The sequence below is a fragment of the Homo sapiens genome, chromosome 14 (genome assembly GCF_000001405.40).
Source record: "Homo sapiens chromosome 14, GRCh38.p14 Primary Assembly".
NCBI classification, from domain to species: domain Eukaryota; kingdom Metazoa; phylum Chordata; class Mammalia; order Primates; family Hominidae; genus Homo; species Homo sapiens.
The window spans coordinates 62,529,861-62,553,170 of record NC_000014.9 but is presented as its reverse complement, the minus strand read 5'-3'; positions in this window follow the sequence as shown (position 1 = coordinate 62,553,170).

Below are 23,310 nucleotides of genomic sequence, written 5' to 3'. Positions count from 1 at the left end.
TTCCCTTTGAATCCTGAAGGATATTTCCCTGGACATATAATTGTGGATTTATTTGAGTTTACCCTATTTGAGGTCAGTTGAGCTTCTTGGATCTGTAGATTTATGCCTTTTGTGAAACTTGGAAAGTTTTTAGCCATATTTCTTTTAGTACTTTTTCAGTTCAAATCTCTCTTCGTCTAGAACTACAATGATACAAATATTAGCTCTGTTATTATGGTTCCAAAGGTCCCTGAGACTCTGGTTTTTTTATAGGTACATAATAGGTGTACATATTTATGGAGTATATGAGATATTTTGATACAGGCATGCAATGTGTAATAATCACATCAATGTAAATGGGATGTCTATGACTTCAAGCATTTATCATTTCTTTGTGTTACAAACTTTCCAATTATACTCTTTGGTTATTTTAAAATGTACAGTAAATTATTGTTAACTGTAATCACCCTGTTGTGCTATCAAATAGTAGGTCTTATTCATTCTAACTATATTTTTGTACCCATTAATGGTACCCACTTCCCCCCCGTCCCCCCCACTACCCTTCCCAGCCTCTGGTAACCATAATTCTACTCTCTATCTGCATGATTTCAATTGTTTTAATTTTTTAGCTCTCACGAATATGTGAGAACATGCAAAGTTTGTCTTTCTGTGCCTGACTTACTTCACTTAATGTCTTTCAGTTCCTTTCATGCTATTGGAAATGACAGGATCTCATTCATTTTTTTTGGCTGAATAGTTGTTCATTGTATATATGCACTTTTTTTAACTTTTAAGTTCAGGGGTACAAGTGCAGGTTTGTTTCATAGGTAAACTTGTGTCATGGGGGTTTGTTGTACAGATTATTTTATCACCCAGGTATTAAGCCTAGTACCCATTAGTTATTTTTCCTGATCCTCTCCCTCCTGCCACCATCCACTCTCCAAAAGGTCCCAGTGTGTGTTGTTCCCCTCTATGTGCCCAAGTGTTGTCATCATTTAGCTCCCATTTATAAGTGAGAACATGGGGTGTTTGGTTTTCTGTTCCTGTTTTAGTTTGCTAAGGATAATGGACTCCAGATTCATCCATGTTTCTACAAGGGACATGATCTCATTCTTTTTTATGGCTGCATAGTATTCCATGGTGTATATGTACCACATTTTCTTTATCCAGTCCATCATTGATGGGCATTTAGGTTGATCCCATATCTTTGCTATTGTGAACAGTGCTATATTTATCTGTCGATGAACACTTAGGTTGCCTCCAAATCTTAGCTATTGTAAACAGTGCTGCAACAACATGAAAGTGCAGATATGGTCCAATGCACTGATTTTCTCTCTTTTAGGTATATAACCACTGGTGGGATTTCTGGATCATACAGTAGCTCTTTCTTTAGTTTTTTGAGAAACCTCCAAACTGTTCTCCATAGTGGTTGTACTAATTACATTCCCACCCACAGTATACTGGGGTTCCTTTTCTCCACATGTTCGCCAGCATTTGTTATTGCCAGTCTTTTGGATAAAAGCTATTTAAACCGGGGTGAGATAATATATCATTGTAGCTTTGATTTGCATTTCTCTGATCAGTGATGTTGAGCACCTTTTTTCATAAACCAGTTTGCCATTTGTATGTTGGCTTTTGAGAAATGTCTGTTCAGATCTTTTGCCATTTTTAAATTGGATTGTCAGAAATTTTTAAGTTTGAGCTCCCTATATATTCTGGATTAGTCTCTTGTCAGTTGGATAGTTTGTAAATATTTTCTGCCATTCTATGAGTTGTCTTTTCACTTTGTTGATTGTTTTCTTCACTGTGCAGAAGGTTTCTAACTTTTTGTGATCCTGTTTGTCCATTTTTTGCTTTTGCTTATGCTTGTGGAGTATTACTGAAGAAATCTTTTGCAGATCAATGTCCTGGAGAGTTTCCCCCAAATGTTTTCTTTTAGTATTTTCACAGATTGAGGTCTTAGATTTAAGTGTTAAATGAATTTTGATTTGATTTTGGTATATGGCAAGAGATGGGGATCTAGTTTCCTATCTCTCCCTGTGGATGTCCAGTTTTCTCAGCACCACTGGTTGAAGAGACTCTCCTTTACCCAATGTATGTTCTTGGCAACTTTGTTGAAAATGAGTTCACTGTAGATGTATAAATTTGTTTTTGGGTTCTTTGTTCTGTTATATTGGTCTATGTGTCTGCTTTCATGCTAGTACCATGCTGTTTTTGGTTACCTTAGCTTTACTATAATTTGAAGTCAAGTTATGTGATTCCTCCAGTTTTGTTCTTTTTGCTCAGGATAGCTTTGGCTATTCTGGGACTTTTGTGGTGTCATATAAATTTTAGAATTATGTTTTTATTTCTGTGAAGAATGTAATTGGTATTTTGATAGGGTTTGCATTGAATCTCTGCAGACTGCTTTGAGTAGTATGAGCATTTTAACAATATTATTTCTAGTAATCCATGAGCATAGAATAACTTTCCTTTTTCATGTCCTCTTCAATTTCTTGTATTAATGTTTTATAGTTTTTATTGCAGAGATCTTTCACTTCTTTGATTAAGTTTATTCCTAGGTATTTTATTTTATTTGTAGCTAAATGGGATTACTTTCTGTGTTAGACCATTCTTGCATTGCTTTGAATGAATATCTGAGACTGGTTAATTTATAAAGAAAAGAGGCTTAATTAACACCATGCTGTGTAAGCATGGTGCCAGCATTTGCTCAGCTTCTGTGGAGAACTCAGGGAGCTTTTATTCATGGCAGAATGTGAAGCAGGAACAGACACATTACATGGCAAGAGCAGGAGCAACAGAGAGGTGTGGGGAGCCACATAGTTTTAAGCAATTAGATCTCAAAATAACTCACTATCACAAGTATAGCACCAAGCCAAGAGGGATCCATCCCCATGGAGCCCCAGGATGTTGAACCATCCTTGCATCCCTGTGATAAATACCACCTGGTCATGATAAATGATCCTTTTAATGTGTTGTTGAATTCAGTTTGCTAGTATTTTTTTCAAGGATTTTTCTTCAATGTTCATCAGGAATATCAGCCTGGATTTTTCTTTTCTCTTACTTTGTTGTTGTTGTTGTTGTTGTTCTGTCCTTGTCTGGTTTTGGTATCCAGGAAATACTGACTTTGTAGAATGAGTTTGGAAGTATTCCCTCTTCCTCTGTTTTTTGGAATAGTTTGAGTAGGATTGGCATTAGTTCTTTAAATGTTTGATAGAATTTAGCAGTGAGGCCATCAGGTCCCAGAGTTTTCTGTGCTGGGAGATGTTTTGTTAAGGCTTTGATCTCATTACTGTTATTGTGCTATTCAAGTCTTGGATTTCTTCATGGTTCAATCTTGGTAGGTTGTAGGTGTCTATAAATGTATCAATTTCTTCTAGATTTTCCCATTTTTGGCATACAGTTCCTCATAGTAGCCACTAATGGTCCTTTGAATTTATGTGGTATCAGTTGTAATGTCTCCTTTTTCATCTCTGTTTTTATTTATTTGGATCTTCCCTCTCTTTTCCTTAGCCTGACTAAAGGTTTGTCAGTTTTGTTTACCTTTTCAAAAAAAAAAAAGAAAAAAAACCTTTTGCTTCATTTATCTTTTGTATTTTTTGTTTCAATTTATTTCTGCTCTGATCTTCGTTATTTCTTCTACTAATTTTGGGTTTGGCAAGCTCTTGCTTTTTTAGGCCTTTAAGATATATTATTAGCTTATCCATTTAAAGTTTTCCTAATTTTCTGATGTAGGCACTTATTGCTATAAACTTTCCTCTAAGTACTGATTTTTCTATTTCCCATAGGTTTTGATATGTTGTGTTTCTATTTTAATTTGTATCGGAAAATTTTTCGATTTCCTTCTTAATGTCTTCATTGACCCACTGGTCATTCAGGAGCATATTATTTAATTTCCATTTGTTTGTATAGGTTACAAAATTCCTCTTGTTAATGATTTCTAGTTTTATTCCATTGTGGTCAAAGAGGATAGTTGAGATGATTTCAATGTTTTTCAAGTATTTTAAGACTTGTTTTGTGAACTAACATGGTCTATCCTTGAGAATGATCAATGTACTGAGGAGAAGAATGTGTATTTTGCAGCTGTTGAATAAAATGTTCTGTAACTATTAGGCCTACTTGGTCTATAGTGCAGATTTAGTCCATTGTTTCTTGGTTGATTTTCTGCCTGTATGATCTGTCCTATGCTGAAAGTGGGGTGTTGAAGTCTCCAGTTATTGTATGTAGGTCTAATATTATTTGCTTTATATAGCTGGGTACTCCAGTGTTGGTCACATATCTATTTACAATTTTTATATCCTTTTGCTGAACTGACCCCTTTGTCATTACATAATGACTTTGTTTCTTTCTAAAGTTTTTGTCTTGAAATCTATTTTTGTCGGACACAAGTATAGCTATTCCTGGTCTTTTTTGGCTTCCACTGCATGGAATATCTTTTCATTCCTTTATTTTCAGTCTACGTGTGTCTTTATAAGTGAAATATGTTTCTTGTAGGCAGCTGATTGAGTCTTTCCCCTGCACCCATTTAGGCACTCTGTATCTTTTGATTGGATAGTTTAGTCAATTTGAATTCAATGTTATTATTGATTAATAAGGTGATATTTTGTTGTTTTTCAGTTGTTTCATGGTCTTTTTTTCCTTCCTTCCTCTCTTCCTTTTTGTGAATGTGATTTTCCTCTGGTTGTATTTTATACATCTGCGGCCAGATGTATTGAAGCTCCTTGGTATGTTATTTATTTCTTTACTCTTGGTGCTTTTAGGATTCTTCCTTTATCCTTGACCTTTTGGTATATTAAATGTCTGAGGTAGTCTTGTTTGAATTAAATCTGCTTGGTGTTCTCTCACCTTCTGACACTTGAATATTGATTTTTTTTTTTTTTTAGATTTGGAAGGTTCTATGTGATGATGCCTTTCTACCCTAATCTTTTTCTCTACCTTTTCTTTAAGGCCAATAACTCTTAAATTTGCCATTTTGAGGCTATTGTCTAGATATCATAGGTGTGCTTCATTCTTTTTTATTTTTTCTCATGTCTGATCTATGTATTTTCAAGTAGTCTGTCTTCAAAGTCACTAATTCTTCTGCTTAATTCTGATTTTGAGGGCCTCTGCATTCTTCAGTATGTCAATTGAATGTTTCAGATTCAGAATTTCTCATTGATATTTTAAAATTATTTCAATCTCTTTGTTAAATTAATCTGATAGGATTCTGAGTTCCTTCTTTGTGTGATTGTGAATTTCCTTGAGCTTTATTAATAGAACTATTTTGAATTCTCTGTCTCAAGGGTTACATATCTCTGTCATCTTAGAATTGGTCACTGATGCTTTAGTTCATTTGGTGAGATCATGCTTTCTTGGATGGACTTGATGTCTGTGTATGTTCATTGATACATGGAGCTGGAGCTGGGGAAGGAGTAACACAAGCACCCCTGTGGCCACCACCACTGGATCTGCCCTGAATCAGATTTGAAGCTAGCACAACAGTGGGTCACACCTACAGTCCACAGTGACCGCTGCCTGGCTATCTCTAATGTTTATTCAAGACCCAAGGCTCTTCGGTCAGTGGTTGGTGAATCCAACCAGGCTTGTGTCTTTCCTTCAACAATGGCAAGCTCCCCACTGGTTTGGGGCAGGTCCAGAAATACCATCCAGGAGCCAGGGCCTGAAGTCAGGAATCTAGGAATCTACTTGGTGTTCTACTCTGCTGTGGCTAAACTAGCACCCAAACCATAAGACAAAGCTCTTCTCATTCTTCCCTCTGCATTGCTGAAGCCGCAGTTGTCTCTCTCTGTGGCCACCACCACCCCAGGCCTAAGGTGAGTGTTGCTTGGCTACTTCCAATATTCATTCAATGGTGAAGGGCTCTTCAATCAGCTTGTGGTAAATGCTGCTGGGCTTGGGTCTCTCTGTTCAAGGTAGTGTGCCCTCTTCTGGCCCAAGGTGGGTCCAGAAAAGCCATCCAGGGGCCAATGCCTGGAATCAGAGACCCCAGCAGCCTATTTGGTGCTCTTTCCCTGTGGCCAAGCTGGTACCTAAGCTGCAAGACAAAATCTCCTTTACTCTTCCCTCTCCTTTTCTCAAGTGGAAGATTCTCTCCTTGTGGCCATCACAGCTGGGAATGTGCTGAGTCACACCAGCATGGCACTGAATCTCACTGAAGGCCTACAGCAACCCAAGTGCTCTTTAGTCAGCAGGTGAGGAATCCTGCAGACTGGTACTTCCTTTAAAGGCAGCAGGTTCCCTTCTGTCCCAGGGCATGTTTAGAAAATGTCATCTTGGAGCTAGGGCCTGGAATGGAGGCCTCAGGACTCTGCCTACTTCCCTATCCTACTGTGCCTGAGCTGCTACGTATTCAAGTTGCAAAACAAAGTCCTCTCTCTTTACTCTTCCCTGTTTTCCCCTCAAGCAGAGGGAAGGAGTCTTTCCTGGGGCTGGAAGCTGTGCTGTTTGGGGTTGGGGAAGGGTTGATGTAAGCACTCCCTTGGCTGCCCTCACTGGTGTCTTACTAGGTAATGTATATCCCAAGTTCACTAGCTTTGAGCCCAGCATAGAACCAGGACTGGCCCAGGAATTGTAGTCCTTGTGGCCTAGACTGCCTTTCAAGTTTATTTAGAACCCCAGACCACTTTAGCCTGCAGTGGTAGGGACTAAATGGAACTCAGATATCAACCACTGGGATCGACAGTTCTCCTCTGGCTGGGGCTACTCTAAATTCTCCCTCTGTCAGTGCTGGCTCAATACTGCCTTGCATTGCTTTCCGCTGCTCCTGGCAGCAGTGAGTTCCAATGCAAAGTCCCGTAACCATTGTGCCATTGCTCCCTGAAGCATGTAAATTCTCTCCCTGTGCCATGTGGCCACTGCCAGGGGTTGGGGGAGGGGTGGTATAGCCAATTCAAGACTGTCTTTTCTACCTTCTTCATGGCTGTGATGTTAAAACGAGGTACTGTGATTGCTCACCTGATTTTTTGTTCTTATGAAGGTGCTTTCCTTTGTGGATAGTTGTTCAATTTGGTGTTCCTGTGGGGGTGGGGAGGGGGGAGGGGGGCGGGGCAGGGTAATAGCTAAGGGGTTCTATTCTGCCATCTTGCTCTGCCTCCTCCCATTTAAAAAATAATCTATTTTCTCTCTCTTGTTCATACTGCATAAATTCATTTGTCTTCATGTTCACTGATTTTATCTCTTGTCACTCCCATCCTATTCATCAAATTTTTAAATGATGTTGGTACTTCTCAGTTTGTAGTTTCCATTGGTTCTTTTTTATAATTTTATTACTTTCACAAAATTTTTTATTTTTGAGTGCATTTCACAAGATTTTCTGATTACTTTTTAAAGCATTGTTTATGATGTCTTCTTTGACATCCTTGTCAGATAATTCCAACAGGTGAATCATCTCCTGGGTTTTGGTATGAGTAATAATTTTCTTAACTGTATTCTAGACATTTTGGATATTGTGAGATCCTATTTTACCTTCTTGTCTTTAGTAGGCAGTCCTCATGTGGAGGTGTAACACTAGGGCTAATTGGGTATGTATTTTCAACTCTTTACCCATTGATACCATAGAAAAGGAGGGGAGAGACAAAGTGTGAATTACTCCCACCTCCTACCTTCATTGATCATGAATGGGAGCAGAATCTTAGTTATTCTCCCTGGCCCCCAAAGGGGGATGGGGAGGAAAGCGTGATGTTGCCTACTCCCATTAGCGGTGTTAAGTTTATTGTTGCTGGGTGGCAGTGAAATCTCTGTTGATGAAATATCCCACCCCATACTACCCTGGTTGGAGAACTGGAGCACATCCTTGTTCAGCCCAGCAACGTTGGAAGATAAGCTTCCTCCTTGGGCTCACCACCACTACCTGGCAGGGGAATCAGCGTACTGCCTGCTTCTGCTGGACTAAACGATGGACAGGAATGTTAACTTCCCACTTTGCCACCCTGAAACCTGTGGAAGTAGGGGTGAATTTTTTTCATTTTGTTTGACTGAAGTTAGGTAGATACTAAAGGTTTATTATCACTGGACCACCCTTTTGCCAGCCCATTGGCTGGAAGAAAGACTTTACTGGAAGCTTTTTTTTTTTTTAACTGTGCCTGTTGGCTTTCAGGGTTGGAGACTTCTACAGTGTTCTGTCCACAGATACTTGGATGACAATAAGGAAACTGAAAGACTCATTACGTTGTTTCTCAAGTCTCCAGATCTCTGGGCTATCCAACTTTTTCTCCGCCTTTCAGAGTCCTCCTTTCCTTGACGTTACATCATGTCTAGGGTGTTTGAATTGTACCAACTTATTTTTTATAAAGCCACCAAAGCAATTCAATGGAACAATACAGTGAAAATTCAACCATTTTCAACAAATGGGTTTTGAATAACTGAACACATATGAAAACAAAACAGTCTCAACCTCCATGTTTCACCATACACAAATTTTTGTTTGAGAAAAATCACAGAACTAAAAATAAAAGCTAGTATGTATAGCTTATAGAAGAAACCAGGGGAATATCCTTGTGCCTGGGGTTAGGAAACATTACTCAGGCAGAGCTCTGAAAGCAATTACCGGAGAAGAAAAAAAAAAAAGGTAAGCTATGCTTAATCAAAATTTAAACTTCTATTCATCAAAATACAACTTTAAGAATCTTAACAAATACTTATATAGAATATATCTGATAATATTTATATTCAGAACAAACAAATAATTCCTACAACTCAATAGGAAGACAACCCAATTTTAATAATATACAAAGAATTTGCATATTCAATCCTCTCAAATAGTTGTGGGGATAAAAAAGATTTGGATAGATACATGACAAAGGATGATACCATAAGCATATGCAAACATACTTCACTAGTTTTCAGAAAATTTGATATGAAAGCCATGAGACATCATTCCAAGTCCACTAGAATAGCTAAGGTTAAAAAGGCCATCAGTATCAAACTTCAGTAAGACTGGAGAACAACTATGACCCTTATATATTAGTAGTGAGAGAGTAAAATGGTAAAAGAAGTATGGAAAATAGTTTTGACAGTTGGTATAAAGTTAAATATATACCTATTCTATAATCCAATAATTTCATGCTAGGCATTTACTTAAGAAAAAACATATCTAGGTAAATACTTGTATAATAATGTTTACAGCCACTTTGTTCATAGTAGCCGTACAAGTAGAAACCATATAAATATTTATCAATAGTAAAATCAAATTTGTATGTAATCAAACAATGGAATACTTCTCAATTCCAAAGGAATACACAAGGAAACATCTCATAGACATTATGCTAAAGGAAAAGTCAAACATAAAGACGACATCCTGTGTGATTTCATTTATATAAAACCCTAGGACAGGTACAGCTAATCTGTGGTGAAACAAATCAGAAAAGTGGTTGCCTTTGGTGGGGAGAAAATAGGTGGGAAGAGTATGAAAGGATTTTTTGAGGTAATGGAAATGTTATTTATTTTGGTGGGAGTATGAATTATGCAGGTATATGCCATTTTCAAAATTCCTAGATTTGTACACTTAAGGTGTGTACATTTCAATATAGGTTTTGCTTTTAAAAAACTGTAAACAGATATTGAAATTTAAAAAATTAAAATGCTAGGACAACAAGTTGGAAGTTCCTGTTTAAACTCATGGAGGGAAGTTTAGGGGAAAAGAATATGCTGCTAATTTTAGTAATGGAAAAAAAAATCAATCAAATGCCCTCAAAAATTGTCCAGGAAGAAAATGTGAATATATCCAGAAGAGATATATGCTGAGAGAGACAAGTATTTACAAAAGTACTTGAATAAAGATGGTCCTTCTTTCCCAACCTAGGGCACTCAGTTTGGTCATTCTGTTGCCAATGATGATCAAAGTTTGAAGGAGGAAAATTGACTGGACACTGAAGGTGGGTTGGTTCAACAAAAGAAGGAAGAGCCCAGCCCCAGAAGCTATTTCCTCCAGAGCCACTTTCAAATATATTTCATGTGTTCATTTTCATTTGGACGTAGAAAAGTCAAACCTTGCTCACTCTCTATTTATGCCAGAGTTTTCTCTTTATTATATTGTATAACAATAGAAAACAAAAGAATTTTTGCTGAGACCTACAGTTTCTTGATTAGGTGGAATAATTTCCTAGATCAAAGGGCTGTTAAATATTTCACTGGAATAATGAAGAAATTATTGGACTATCCACTTTCTAAAGTAGGGTAGATACTTAGCTATGATACTACCTTATGCTTTGAGATGGGCTAGGTAATTTCCCAAAGAGCATTTTAGTTCTGGGATTCCTCAATGTTTTTAAAGAATCTGTTTCTAATTATCATTTGTTATGATAAACAGCACCTTGACCTCTCCCTTACATATAATTCAGCAGATTTTGTCAGTACTTTAGGACATCAATGCAAAGATTCATTGTCATGATGTCAATTAAGAGTAAATACCACATTATAAAAGCTGTGGTAAATATTTCAAGGATGGTCTACTTCCTTACATTAGTCACTATGGTTATATACATTTCCCTCTAGTTCAAGTCAAAAACTGAGTTTTTAGTACATAATCATAATAACTATGAAATTGTGGTACATGGAACACAGTTTTATCCTCTAAGTAACCTATTGGCAAAATTTGCCCTCTAGATGTGCTACTGGCAAGTTAAAGAGAAGTATGGCCTGTCCCTGAGGTTTTTCTGTTTGTCTTGTTTTGCATTTATTTGTTCTTGCATAGAACTAGATTTCATTAATGGTAATAATACTGCATTAGATGATATTGAAGTTCAGCCTTCCATCATATTCCCATTAACCATGGCAGTTCTAGTTAATTCCATGTTCTCATGAAGTATACTGCTTTTACAAATATAAGCTTAATTTGAACTGTTAGAACATTGCTAACATTATAATACTGCTAATAATTATAATGGAAACTGCTATAATCTATTATAATTGTTACGTTATGGTTAGCATGCTGAACCACAATCACCTGCTAGATCATGAATAATAAAGTATTAGATTGTACGTACAGCTATTATTTTGCCTTTGAGAGAAGCAATTTTGTAATATATGAAGTTTATTTGAATGTGTACGTTAGCGGCAATGTACTGCGCAATGGGCTTTAAATGCCATCATCTCTAGGACCTTCAGGAATATTGTAAATTCTAGAGCATTCTTAAATACAATATTTTATTTTTAATATACAAAAATAAACTTTTTATGATAGAGCATCCTTTCTCAGAGGGATCTAAACTAGAGGAGCTGATTTCATATCAAGACTGTGGTCTGGCCCTAAGCCTGCTTTAGAAAGTGCCCGAGGCTGTGAAAGAAAGATGTGAAAACCAGGCTTCACTAAGTTCTTTTTTTTTTTTTTTTTTTTTTTAATTTTTTTTTTTTTATTATACTCTAAGTTTTAGGGTACATGTGCACATTGTGCAGGTTAGTTACATATGTATACATGTGCCATGCTGGTGCGCTGCACCCACTAACGTGTCATCTAGCATTAGGTATATCTCCCAATGCTATCCCTCCCCCCTCCCCCGACCCCACCACAGTCCCCAGAGTGTGATATTCCCCTTCCTGTGTCCATGTGATCTCATTGTTCAATTCCCACCTATGAGTGAGAATATGCGGTGTTTGGTTTTTTGTTCTTGCGATAGTTTACTGAGAATGATGGTTTCCAATTTCATCCATGTCCCTACAAAGGACATGAACTCATCATTTTTTATGGCTGCATAGTATTCCATGGTGTATATGTGCCACATTTTCTTAATCCAGTCTATCATTGTTGGACATTTGGGTTGGTTCCAAGTCTTTGCTATTGTGAATAGTGCCGCAATAAACATACGTGTGCATGTGTCTTTATAGCAGCATGATTTATAGTCCTTTGGGTATATACCCAGTAATGGGATGGCTGGGTCAAATGGTATTTCTAGTTCTAGATCCCTGAGGAATCGCCACACTGACTTCCACAATGGTTGAACTAGTTTACAGTCCCACCAACAGTGTAAAAGTGTTCCTATTTCTCCACATCCTCTCCAGCACCTGTTGTTTCCTGACTTTTTAATGATTGCCATTCTAACTGGTGTGAGATGATATCTCATAGTGGTTTTGATTTGCATTTCTCTGATGGCCAGTGATGATGAGCATTTCTTCATGTGTTTTTTGGCTGCATAAATGTCTTCTTTTGAGAAGTGTCTGTTCATGTCCTTCGCCCACTTTTTGATGGGGTTGTTTGTTTTTTTCTTGTAAATTTGTTTGAGTTCATTGTAGATTCTGGATATTAGCCCTTTGTCAGATGAGTAGGTTGTGAAAATTTTCTCCCATGTTGTAGGTTGCCTGTTCACTCTGATGGTAGTTTCTTTTGCTGTGCAGAAGCTCTTGAGTTTAATTAGATCCCATTTGTCAATTTTGGCTTTTGTTGCCATTGGTTTTGGTGTTTTGGACATGAAGTCCTTGCCCACGCCTATGTCCTGAATGGTATTGCCTAGGTTTTCTTCTAGGGTTTTTATGGTTTTAGGTCTAACGTTTAAATCTTTAATCCATCTTGAATTGATTTTTGTATAAGGTGTAAGGAAGGGATCCAGTTTCAGCTTTCTACATATGGCTAGCCAGTTTTCCCAGCACCATTTATTAAATAGGGAATCCTTTCCCCATTGCTTGTTTTTCTCAGGTTTGTCAAAGATCAGATAGTTGTAGATATGCGGCATTATTTCTGAGGGCTGTGTTCTGTTCCATTGATCTATATCTCTGTTTTGGTACCAGTACCATGCTGTTTTGGTTACTGTAGCCTTGTAGTATAGTTTGAAGTCAGGTAGTGTGATGCCTCCAGCTTTGTTCTTTTGGCTTAGGATTGACTTGGCGATGCGGGCTCTTTTTTGGTTCCATATGAACTTTCAAGTAGTTTTTTCCAATTCTGTGAAGAAAGTCATTGGTAGCTTGATGGGGATGGCATTGAATCTGTAAATTACCTTGGGCAGTATGGCCATTTTCATGATATTGATTCTTCCTACCCATGAGCATGGAATGTTCTTCCATTTGTTTGTGTCCTCTTTTATTTCCTTGAGCAGTGGTTTGTAGTTCTCCTTGAAGAGGTCCTTCATGTCCCTTGTAAGTTGGATTCCTAGGTATTTTATTCTCTTTGAAGCAATTGTGAATGGGAGTTCACTCATGATTTGGCTCTCTGTCTGTTGTTGGTGTATAAGAATGCTTGTGATTTTTGTACATTGATTTTGTATCCTGAGACTTTGCTGAAGTTGCTTATCAGCTTAAGGAGATTTTGGGCTGAGACGATGGGGTTTTCTAGATAAACAATCATGTCATCTGCAAACAGGGACAATTTGACTTCCTCTTTTCCTAATTGAATACCCTTTATTTCCTTCTCCTGCCTGATTGCCCTGGCCAGAACCTCCAACACTATGTTGAATAGGAGTGGTGAGAGAGGGCATCCCTGTCTTGTGCCAGTTTTCAAAGGGAATGCTTCCAGTTTTTGCCCATTCAGTATGATATTGGCTGTGGGTTTGTCATAGATAGCTCTTATTATTTTGAAATACGTCCCATCAATACCTAATTTATTGAGAGTTTTTAGCATGAAGGGTTGTTGAATTTTGTCAAAGGCTTTTTCTGCATCTATTGAGATAATCATGTGGTTTTTGTCTTTGGCTCTGTTTATATGCTGGATTACATTTATTGATTTGCGTATATTGAACCAGCCTTGCATCCCAGGGATGAAGCCCACTTGATCATGGTGGATAAGCTTTTTGATGTGCTGCTGGATTCGGTTTGCCAGTATTTTATTGAGGATTTTTGCATCAATGTTCATCAAGGATATTGGTCTAAAATTCTCTTTTTTGGTTGTGTCTCTGCCCGGCTTTGGTATCAGAATGATGCTGGCCTCATAAAATGAGTTAGGGAGGATTCCCTCTTTTTCTATTGATTGGAATAGTTTCAGAAGGAATGGTACCAGTTCCTCCTTGTACCTCTGGTAGAATTCGGCTGTGAATCCATCTGGTCCTGGACTCTTTTTGGTTGGTAAACTATTGATTATTGCCACAATTTCAGAGCCTGTTATTGGTCTATTCAGAGATTCAACTTCTTCCTGGTTTAGTCTTGGGAGAGTGTATGTGTCGAGGAATGTATCCATTTCTTCTAGATTTTCTAGTTTATTTGCGTAGAGGTGTTTGTAGTATTCTCTGATGGTAGTTTGTATTTCTGTGGGATCGGTGGTGAAATCCCCTTTATCATTTTTTATTGTGTCTATTTGATTCTTCTCTCTTTTTTTCTTTATTAGTCTTGCTAGCGGTCTATCAATTTTGTTGATCCTTTCAAAAAACCAGCTCCTGGATTCATTGATTTTTTGAAGGGTTTTTTGTGTCTCTATTTCCTTCAGTTCTGCTCTGATTTTAGTTATTTCTTGCCTTCTGCTAGCTTTTGAATGTGTTTGCTCTTGCTTTTCTAGTTCTTTTAATTGTGATCTTAGGGTGTCAATTTTGGATCTTTCCTGCTGTCTCTTGTAGGCATTGAGTGCTATAAATTTCCCTCTACACACTGCTTTGAATGCGTCCCAGAGATTCTGGTATGTGGTGTCTTTGTTCTCGTTGATTTCAAAGAACATCTTTATTTCTGCCTTCATTTTGTTATGTACCCAGTAGTCATTCAGGAGCAGGTTGTTCAGTTTCCATGTAGTTGAGCGGCTTTGAGTGAGATTCTTAATCCTGAGTTCTAGTTTGATTGCACTGTGGTCTGAGAGATAGTTTGTTATAATTTCTGTTCTTTTACATTTGCTGAGGAGAGCTTTACTTCCAACTATGTGGTCAATTTTGGAATAGGTGTGGTGTGGTGCTGAAAAAAATGTATATTCTGTTGATTTGGGGTGGAGAGTTCTGTAGATGTCTATTAGGTCTGCTTGGTGCAGAGCTGAGTTCAATTCCTGGGTATCCTTGTTGACTTTCTGTCTCGTTGATCTGTCTAATGTTGACAGTGGGGTGTTAAAGTCTCCCATTATTAATGTGTGGGAGTCTAAGTCTCTTTGTAGGTCACTCAGGACTTGCTTTATGAATCTGGGTGCTCCTGTATTGGGTGCATAAATATTTAGGATAGTTAGCTCCTCTTGTTGAATTGATCCCTTTACCATTATGTAATGGCCTTCTTTGTCTCTTTTGATCTTTGTTGGTTTAAAGTCTGTTTTATCAGAGACTAGGATTGCAAGCCCTGCCTTTTTTTGTTTTCCATGTGCTTGGTAGATCTTCCTCCATCCTTTTATTTTGAGCCTATGTGTGTCTCTGCACGTGAGATGGGTTTCCTGAATACAGCACACTGATGGGTCTTGACTCTTTATTCAACTTGCCAGTCTGTGTCTTTTAATTGCAGAATTTAGTCCATTTATATTTAAAGTTAATATTGTTATGTGTGAATTTGATCCTGTCATTATGATGTTAGCTGGTGATTTTGCTCATTAGTTGATGCAGTTTCTTCCTAGTCTCGATGGTCTTTACATTTTGGCATGATTTTGCAGCGGCTGGTACCGGTTGTTCCTTTCCATGTTTAGTGCTTCCTTCAGGAGCTCTTTTAGGGCAGGCCTGGTGGTGACAAAATCTCTCAGCATTTGCTTGTCTATAAAGTATTTTATTTCTCCTTCACTTATGAAGCTTAGTTTGGCTGGATATGAAATTCTGGGTTGAAAATTCTTTTCTTTAAGAATGTTGAATATGGGCCCCCACTCTCTTCTGGCTTGTAGGGTTTCTGCCGAGAGATCCGCTGTTAGTCTGATGGGCTTTCCTTTGAGGGTAACCCGACCTTTCTCTCTGGCTGCCCTTAACATTTTTTCCTTCATTTCAACTTTGGTGAATCTGACAATTATGTGTCTTGGAGTTGCTCTTCTCGAGGAGTATCTTTGTGGCGTTCTCTGTATTTCCTGAATCTGAACGTTGGCCTGCCTTGCTAGATTGGGGGAGTTCTCCTGGATAATATCCTGCAGAGTGTTTTCCAACTTGGTTCCATTCTCCACATCACTTTCAGGTACACCAATCAGACGTAGATTTGGTCTTTTCACATAGTCCCATATTTCTTGGAGGCTTTGCTCATTTCTTTTTATTCTTTTCTCTCTAAACTTCCCTTCTCGCTTCATTTCATTCATTTCATCTTCCATTGCTGATACCCTTTCTTCCAGTTGATCGCATCAGCTCCTGAGGCTTCTGCATTCTTCACGTAGTTCTCGAGCCTTGGTTTTCAGCTCCATCAGCTCCTTTAAGCACTTCTCTGTATTGGTTATTCTAGTTATACATTCTTCTAAATTTTTTTCAAAGTTTTCAACTTCTTTGCCTTTGGTTTGAATGTCCTCCCGTAGCTCAGAGTAATTTGATCGTCTGAAGCCTTCTTCTCTCAGCTCGTCAAAATCATTCTCCATCCAGCTTTGTTCTGTTGCTGGTGAGGAACTGCGTTCCTTTGGAGGAGGAGAGGCGCTCTGCATTTTAGAGTTTCCAGTTTTTCTGTTCTGTTTTTTCCCCATCTTTGTGGTTTTATCTACTTTTGGTCTTTGATGATGGTGATGTACAGATGGGTTTTCGGTGTAGATGTCCTTTCTGGTTGTTAGTTTTCCTTCTAACAGACAGGAACCTCAGCTGCAGGTCTGTTGGAATACCCTGCCGTGTGAGGTGTCAGTGTGCCCCTGCTGGGGGGTGCCTCCCAGTTAGGCTGCTCGGGGGTCAGGGGTCAGGGACCCACTTGAGGCAGTCTGCCCGTTCTCAGATCTCCAGCTGCGTGCTGGGAGAACCACTGCTCTCTTCAAAGCTGTCAGACAGGGACACTTAAGTCTGCAGAGGTTACTGCTGTCTTTTTGTTTGTCTGTGCCCTGCCCCCAGAGGTGGAGCCTACAGAGGCAGGCAGGCCTCCTTGAGCTGTGGTGGGCTCCACCCAGTTCGAGCTTCCCGGCTGCTTTGTTTACCTAAGCAAGCCTGGGCAATGGCGGGCGCCCCTCCCCCAGCCTCGCTGCCGCCTTGCAGTTTGATTGCAGCGAGATTCCGTGGGCGTAGGACCCTCTGAGCCAGGTGTGGGATATAGTCTCGTGGTGCGCCGTTTCTTAAGCCGGTCTGAAAAGCGCAATATTCGGGTGGGAGTGACCCGATTTTCCAGGTGCGTCCGTCACCCCTTTCTTTGACTCGGAAAGGGAACTCCCTGACCCCTTGCGCTTCCCAGGTGAGGCAGTGCCTCGCCCTGCTTCGGCTCGCGCACGGTGCGCACACACACTGGCCTGCGCCCACTGTCTGGCACTCCCTAGTGAGATGAACCCGGTACCTCAGATGGAAATGCAGAAGTCACCCGTCTTCTGCGTCGCTCACGCTGGGAGCTGTAGACCGGAGCTGTTCCTATTCGGCCATCTTGGCTCCTCCCTATCCTTCACTAAGTTCTAAAACTGACATTTCCTTCACCTGCCAGGAGCATCAACTTCTCCCTCTGGTGACTTTGGTTTTCATCACGAATAAAGGCAGTGGTTTTTCTTGTCAGTAATGGAAGAATACTGTTTATAGGAGTTCTTCCTCTTAGATATTTTGTTTTGAATGCTAGAAAATGAGTTGTCTATTCCAGGTTTCAGGCATAAAAGTAGCTGCTAGAGGAAATTACCAGCATAAAGTTTTGTTTCCTGTGTAGCAAATTCATATTCCTATCCATTTATATTTAAACTTGTGATACAATGGTCAACTGGTAATTGTTTAAATGATTGCAAGCAACTAGACTTTTTTAGTTATAATGCACTTAAATATACAATAACTATGGCAATGACACAAGCTAAGTACAGTAGAAATAAGATTAACTTTATTTACAATCACTTCAAAGCTCCACGTAGAATTAGAATGATGGATTATAAACCCTCTATTTACTTTATCAGCTTTCTTTGACATTGTAGAACAGATTTCTGAGCTCTTAAAGGGCAGGCCCACCTAATGGGAGTGGTTCACTACCAAAGAGGACCTCAGGGAAAAAAGAAAAAAAGCTTCCTCAGAGCTTATGTTCCACCATTGCTCCCCTGAAGAAGCCTAGAAAATAACCCAAACTTCCTTTTTTGGGGCAAAAAGAAGGCATCCTGTCTGTAAAAATAGTATATGGTCTTAACATGACTTCCCAATCGAGTCAACAAACGCTCCTCAAATGCTGCTCTTCTATGTTATGCACAATGCCAAAACCTGACCCCAAATTTAAATAAGCCTCAACTGTTGGCCTCAAAGATTTCAGTCAATTAAGGGAGGTGAAACCTTTAGAACTAAATATAAAACAAAAGTGGTGACCGTGTTTGAAAAAGCAAAAACGTGTATTTATGGCATCCCAAATTACCTCATCAGTTCTCATTTATTTAAAGGCTTTTTCCTTCTTCATATGGTTTTTATGTTAACTGGAGAGTTTATAAGCTGTGCTAGAGAAAAAAATTTAAGACATAGTTACACAAAACTAGCAACATCTCATTTGCCAATAACCCAGCTAATTTTAGTTCCTGATAAATTATGCAAAAGAAAATTGATAGAAAGTAGTATGAAGCAAAGATGTGAATAATGCAAAGTAGCTCAAGGAGATGAAAGTGGAACAGGTTATTCATACTTCAAATGGGAATGCTAGCAATGATGGCTTTGGGCTCTTGCCATTTCCTTTAGAGCTAGAGATTACAAGATGATTTAAAAAAGTACCAGAAGTATAAATTACTTGTATACAGATTTCTCCTTTTTATCCTGTATTGGATAAAAGAAAAACTAAGCCAACTGAAAGTGGATGTTTTAGAATCTCAGACTCTCTTTTATCTTTTATCTGGTCTTGTCATGGTTGGCTGTTCCTAGCCACATTCTTTGAAACTGTTGATTGGGGCAGCTTCTCTAGACCCTTCTTCTGAAGTCTGATATGACCTTAATTTTTTATTTTTTAATAAATTATCACGAGCCATCCTAAACTAAGCATAAGAATGGAATGCTACATAAATTAAGTTCTAGAACTCTTAATGAACACCCAGGGGAATGCCATTTGGAATAATTAATCAAAAGTAGAATTTCCTATAATCCATTTTATAGATGAATTACGAAGAGGACTTACGCAGGTTTTGTTTCAACTGTGACTTGAAACAGACATTTGTTCCCTTGGATGATTCAGGGTTGCTGTTCAAGTCAGAAATTTTAAAAGTATAAATATTCTGACAAACTTTAAGATAAAAGTCATTGAATCTTACAAGACATTTTGTCCATAATGCACAACATATCTTGTCCATTATGTTACAAAATACATTATCCATAATACATAGATAACTGACTCCAAATTCAACATTGTTTTGCATATGTCAACAATACAGCAAGTGTTATCTTTTCATTTATGAAAAATAGGCTATTAAAAAGTAATTACAAGAAAAACCTAATAGATCTGTTCCTATATTGGGTTATCTAGTGTCCTCTCAAAATTCATGTTCACTGGAACATCAGAATGTGAACTTATTAGGAAATAGGGTTTTTGTAGATGTAATTAGTTAGCATGAGGTCATACTGACTTAGGGTGGGCCCTTAATCCAATGACTGGTATCCTTATAATAGAAGAGGACAGAGGAAAATGTCATGTGGAGACATAGACAGAGACTAGAGCACCCACCAGAAACTAGAGAAGATGCCTCCATCAGATTCTCCCTCAGGGCCTCTAGAAGGAACCAACCCTGCTGATACCTTGATTTTGAACTAGCCTCCAAAAAGGTAAAATAATAAAATTAGTTTGTTCTAAGCCACCCAGTTTTTTCATAATAATTGTTATGTCAGCCATAGAAAACTAGTAAGGTTCCCAATTATTTTTATTAACCCAAATTCCCCAAACCTCATTAATATCTGGGTAGGTAAATGGTCACACAATAACTCAAATTTAATTGGATCTTGCTCATACTTTCTGATGCAAGATACCCAGGCCCTTTGAAAATATTTTAAATGTTTCAAATATTTCAAAGTATTTCAATATTTGAGGCCCTTCTCAAAATTAAGTGTTTTGGGGTATCCCCAGGGAGAATTTCCAGGTATTCACCAATAAGTCTGTTTCTAGTAGACTTGCCATGACTCTTGTGGGTGTCACCTTCTACTTGTTACTGTCACTGGAAAGCTGAAGAATACATGATGCTACATTTTCAAGGGTATCTGTGATAAAAAGAGATGTCAGCATTTCAAGCCCTTCTGTGTCTCAGTGGAGATATAGGGGTCCTAAACCATTATGGAATTTATTGAAACAGCCTTTTCAATGTTTAATTATGTCCTTCTCTCTCCCTGCAAAGTAGGCAAAATGCTATAAAGGAAACAGGGAAAATTCAAATACTATCCATCACACTGAACCTATCACTGCCCTCTCCGGCAATTAAAAAATCGAATCTGGGTCAGCTTATCTTTCTCTCTTGGGATGAGTTTCCTTAAGTTTTCAATCTCCTTGCAAATGGACCTTGGTCAGTCCACCTGCCCGTTCAGCCATGTGTGAATTCTAGCAGTGAATGAGATGAAATCCTCACCACATGTTTGGGTGACTTTAGGGTAAATTTAACTTTTTCTTTCCTCAGAAGAAAGGGCGTGTGTTTATTTGTTTTTAGAATACTGTGTTATTTTCTGTATTTTCTCCTAAATCTCCTGAGATTCTCTAGAGGATCTGATATAATCCTCCAGTTTTCCATACTTGTCCTTGTTTGTTCAGGGAGGGGAGAAAAGCTGATCAAAGAGGAAAAATATAGGCCTGTTCTGGGGCTTTGGGTGGGGAGTAGCAGCCACTATTCTAAAAGCAAATATTGCCCCAGCTCCAAGCTCAGGTGCTGAGCATCCCTCATTCACATCAGCTGCTCCACTGCTAGTCCACCAGTAAACCTGAACACTGTGATGACTAACCAGAAAAATATCTCCTGCATAATAGTCTTCCTGAGTTGTTTGCTTATTATGTAGCACTAGACATGGTGGAAAAATACTAAAACGATCACATTTTGGTACTGATCAAGTACTGTAAGGTTTTAACAACTCAATGTTAGTATTATAGCAGTAGGGAAGAGTGGCCTATGTGTGGTCACAGTGCGTACATAGGGTAGAGGACTAAAAGCTTCAGTGTACACTGGAGGAAGCGCCAAGGCTTGGACTCTGCTTTTACATTCCCTACAAGATTTGGCTCTGATTCTTTGTCTACTTTAAACCTCAGGCTCGGTGTAATAACTGCCATCATGTGCATTTGTTGTAGACCTAGGTCTCTCCAGGGTTTGAGTCTAATTTTTTTCCTATTGAGCCTACATAGTTCTTCTAGAAGTTCGTGGTACAGGGGCTCTCCTTGTCCATACATGAAGATGAAGCCTGCTTGGAAGATTTTGAGATGTGCGCTTTACTTCTGCCATTATCCCCATCTCTTCATCTGCTCTCACCCTCCTGTGTTTACCTTATTTCTGTAAACCTGAATTTTCACTTTCTCTCTAGCCCCTTGGAATCATGTAGAAGAACTACTTGACTCTGTTTTCCTTTTCCTCCAGGACATGTCGTGTTGTGTAGTTCCTCCAGGCTCCACATAGTGCAAATAGGCAGCAATGTCATGCACAACATTTAGGCTTGGCCATGGTTCCTAAGGCCCAGGTCCCCGATAATTAGGAGATGGAGAAAATTTAGGAAAAATGTTAAATCAGAAATGAGCAAAATAAGAAATCTGGAGAAATGAGAATATTTTATAATGCACTGTTTCCTCATGACTTAGATTTGTTCTCTATTGTCTTGCTAATTAGGTAGACAAATCCTAAATGTAGGAGATCAAAGGGAGTAAGGCATATTTAATAGCATCTTATTCCCTGGCCACACACTGGTTTTCCATATGGTCAGGAATCCAATAGCTCAATACAGGATATAATTAATTTCTCTGAAGCAAAGCAAATGATAACATTTAGATAATTACTCATCACAACTATTTTTGTAATTTACTTTCTAAGAACTGCCTGAAGAGAGCAGTTTATTGAACTAATGGAATAAACAATGAAAGGCAGTGAGGGTCAAAGCAAGGATTAATATTCTACTGAAATATGCCTGGCGCATAAACCAGAATACAAGACTCTTTCTTCCTACTTGTTGAGCAAGGGTGGTTGACTTTGTCATACCACTATAGAAGTTATCCCACCCCAACTGAATTCAATTTTTTTTATTTCTTGTGGTCTGCCTGCTAGGCTCTGCTTCTGTGGCCAATACTGTACGTCAGTCCATTGTTGGACATTAACCTTGGCAAATGGAATGAGAAAAGACTTAGGAGAATTGGATTCTACTATATATCTCTCTGTGGTGGCTCTGTACTAGGCCAACTTATCTAAGCTTAAGTATGTTCTCTAGATCACACTTTCTTGCATAAATCTGGTTTTGTATAGGCCATGGAAAATATTTTGTACAATATTTGAAAGACAGAAATGAAGCAACTCTGAAGGCTTGTGCAGGGCACCAATCTAGCTCATGCGCTAGTGTATATGCAACTACATGTCAAAGCCACTGACTCCTGAAGATCCATATTATTGAGGCTGAATATGTTCAGAGACAGATACAAGTTCCAGTTTGTCCTTATAGGTTTCAGTTGACCTATGTGTCTTCGTCCATCTTTGTAGGTTCAAGATGGTCCTTGCTCTTATCCATATCCAGTTTTCCTTCCTGACTGCCAGTCTGGCTGACCAGTCAGAATCAAAGTAGACAACAGAAACAACAGCTTGTGTAGATGCTTCAGTAGCTCCCAAAATCACATACAGTTGAAACTATACTAAACTGCACAGTCTATATAATTTGTAGCAGTTCTGCTTCTACGACATAACCTTGATTTGTATATTACCTAGTTAGATAAATGTAGATATGCCTTAATTTCTAGGGTAAGGGTATACAATTGCTTTTAATTCTTCTCAATTCCTTTGTGAGGATCAATAAACAAATTTCATATTGAAACTTGTTAAGGATTGGAAACACAGATAAAAATTTGTGCGTGTGAACAGACACATGTATACACATTTTTATATACAAATTGGCACAGTTAGGGAGCTTGGCTTTATCTAGGAATAAATATAATTACCACTTTAATTGAAGCTCTTGAAGGCTCAAGTATACTATAAGCCTTCTAAACAAGTGCCCTGAGCAATTTCCTTGACATAAGTAAATAGTATTGTAGATTATTAAGAAAGATAATGGAAAACTATGGCGATATTTAGAAATACAAAAGATTACCCAACTGAGAGAAGGCTATTTTTTTTGAAGTCAAATTTTGCTCTGAGTTCTTCTTTCAGGACTTCCTGAAAGACAATCAAGGTCCAAAGCTTGTCTCATCTCTCATCTATCCTGAATGGAGGAAATAACATCTTTGCACTTGCTTAAAAAACATGATGGGTACATATAGAACGTGTCT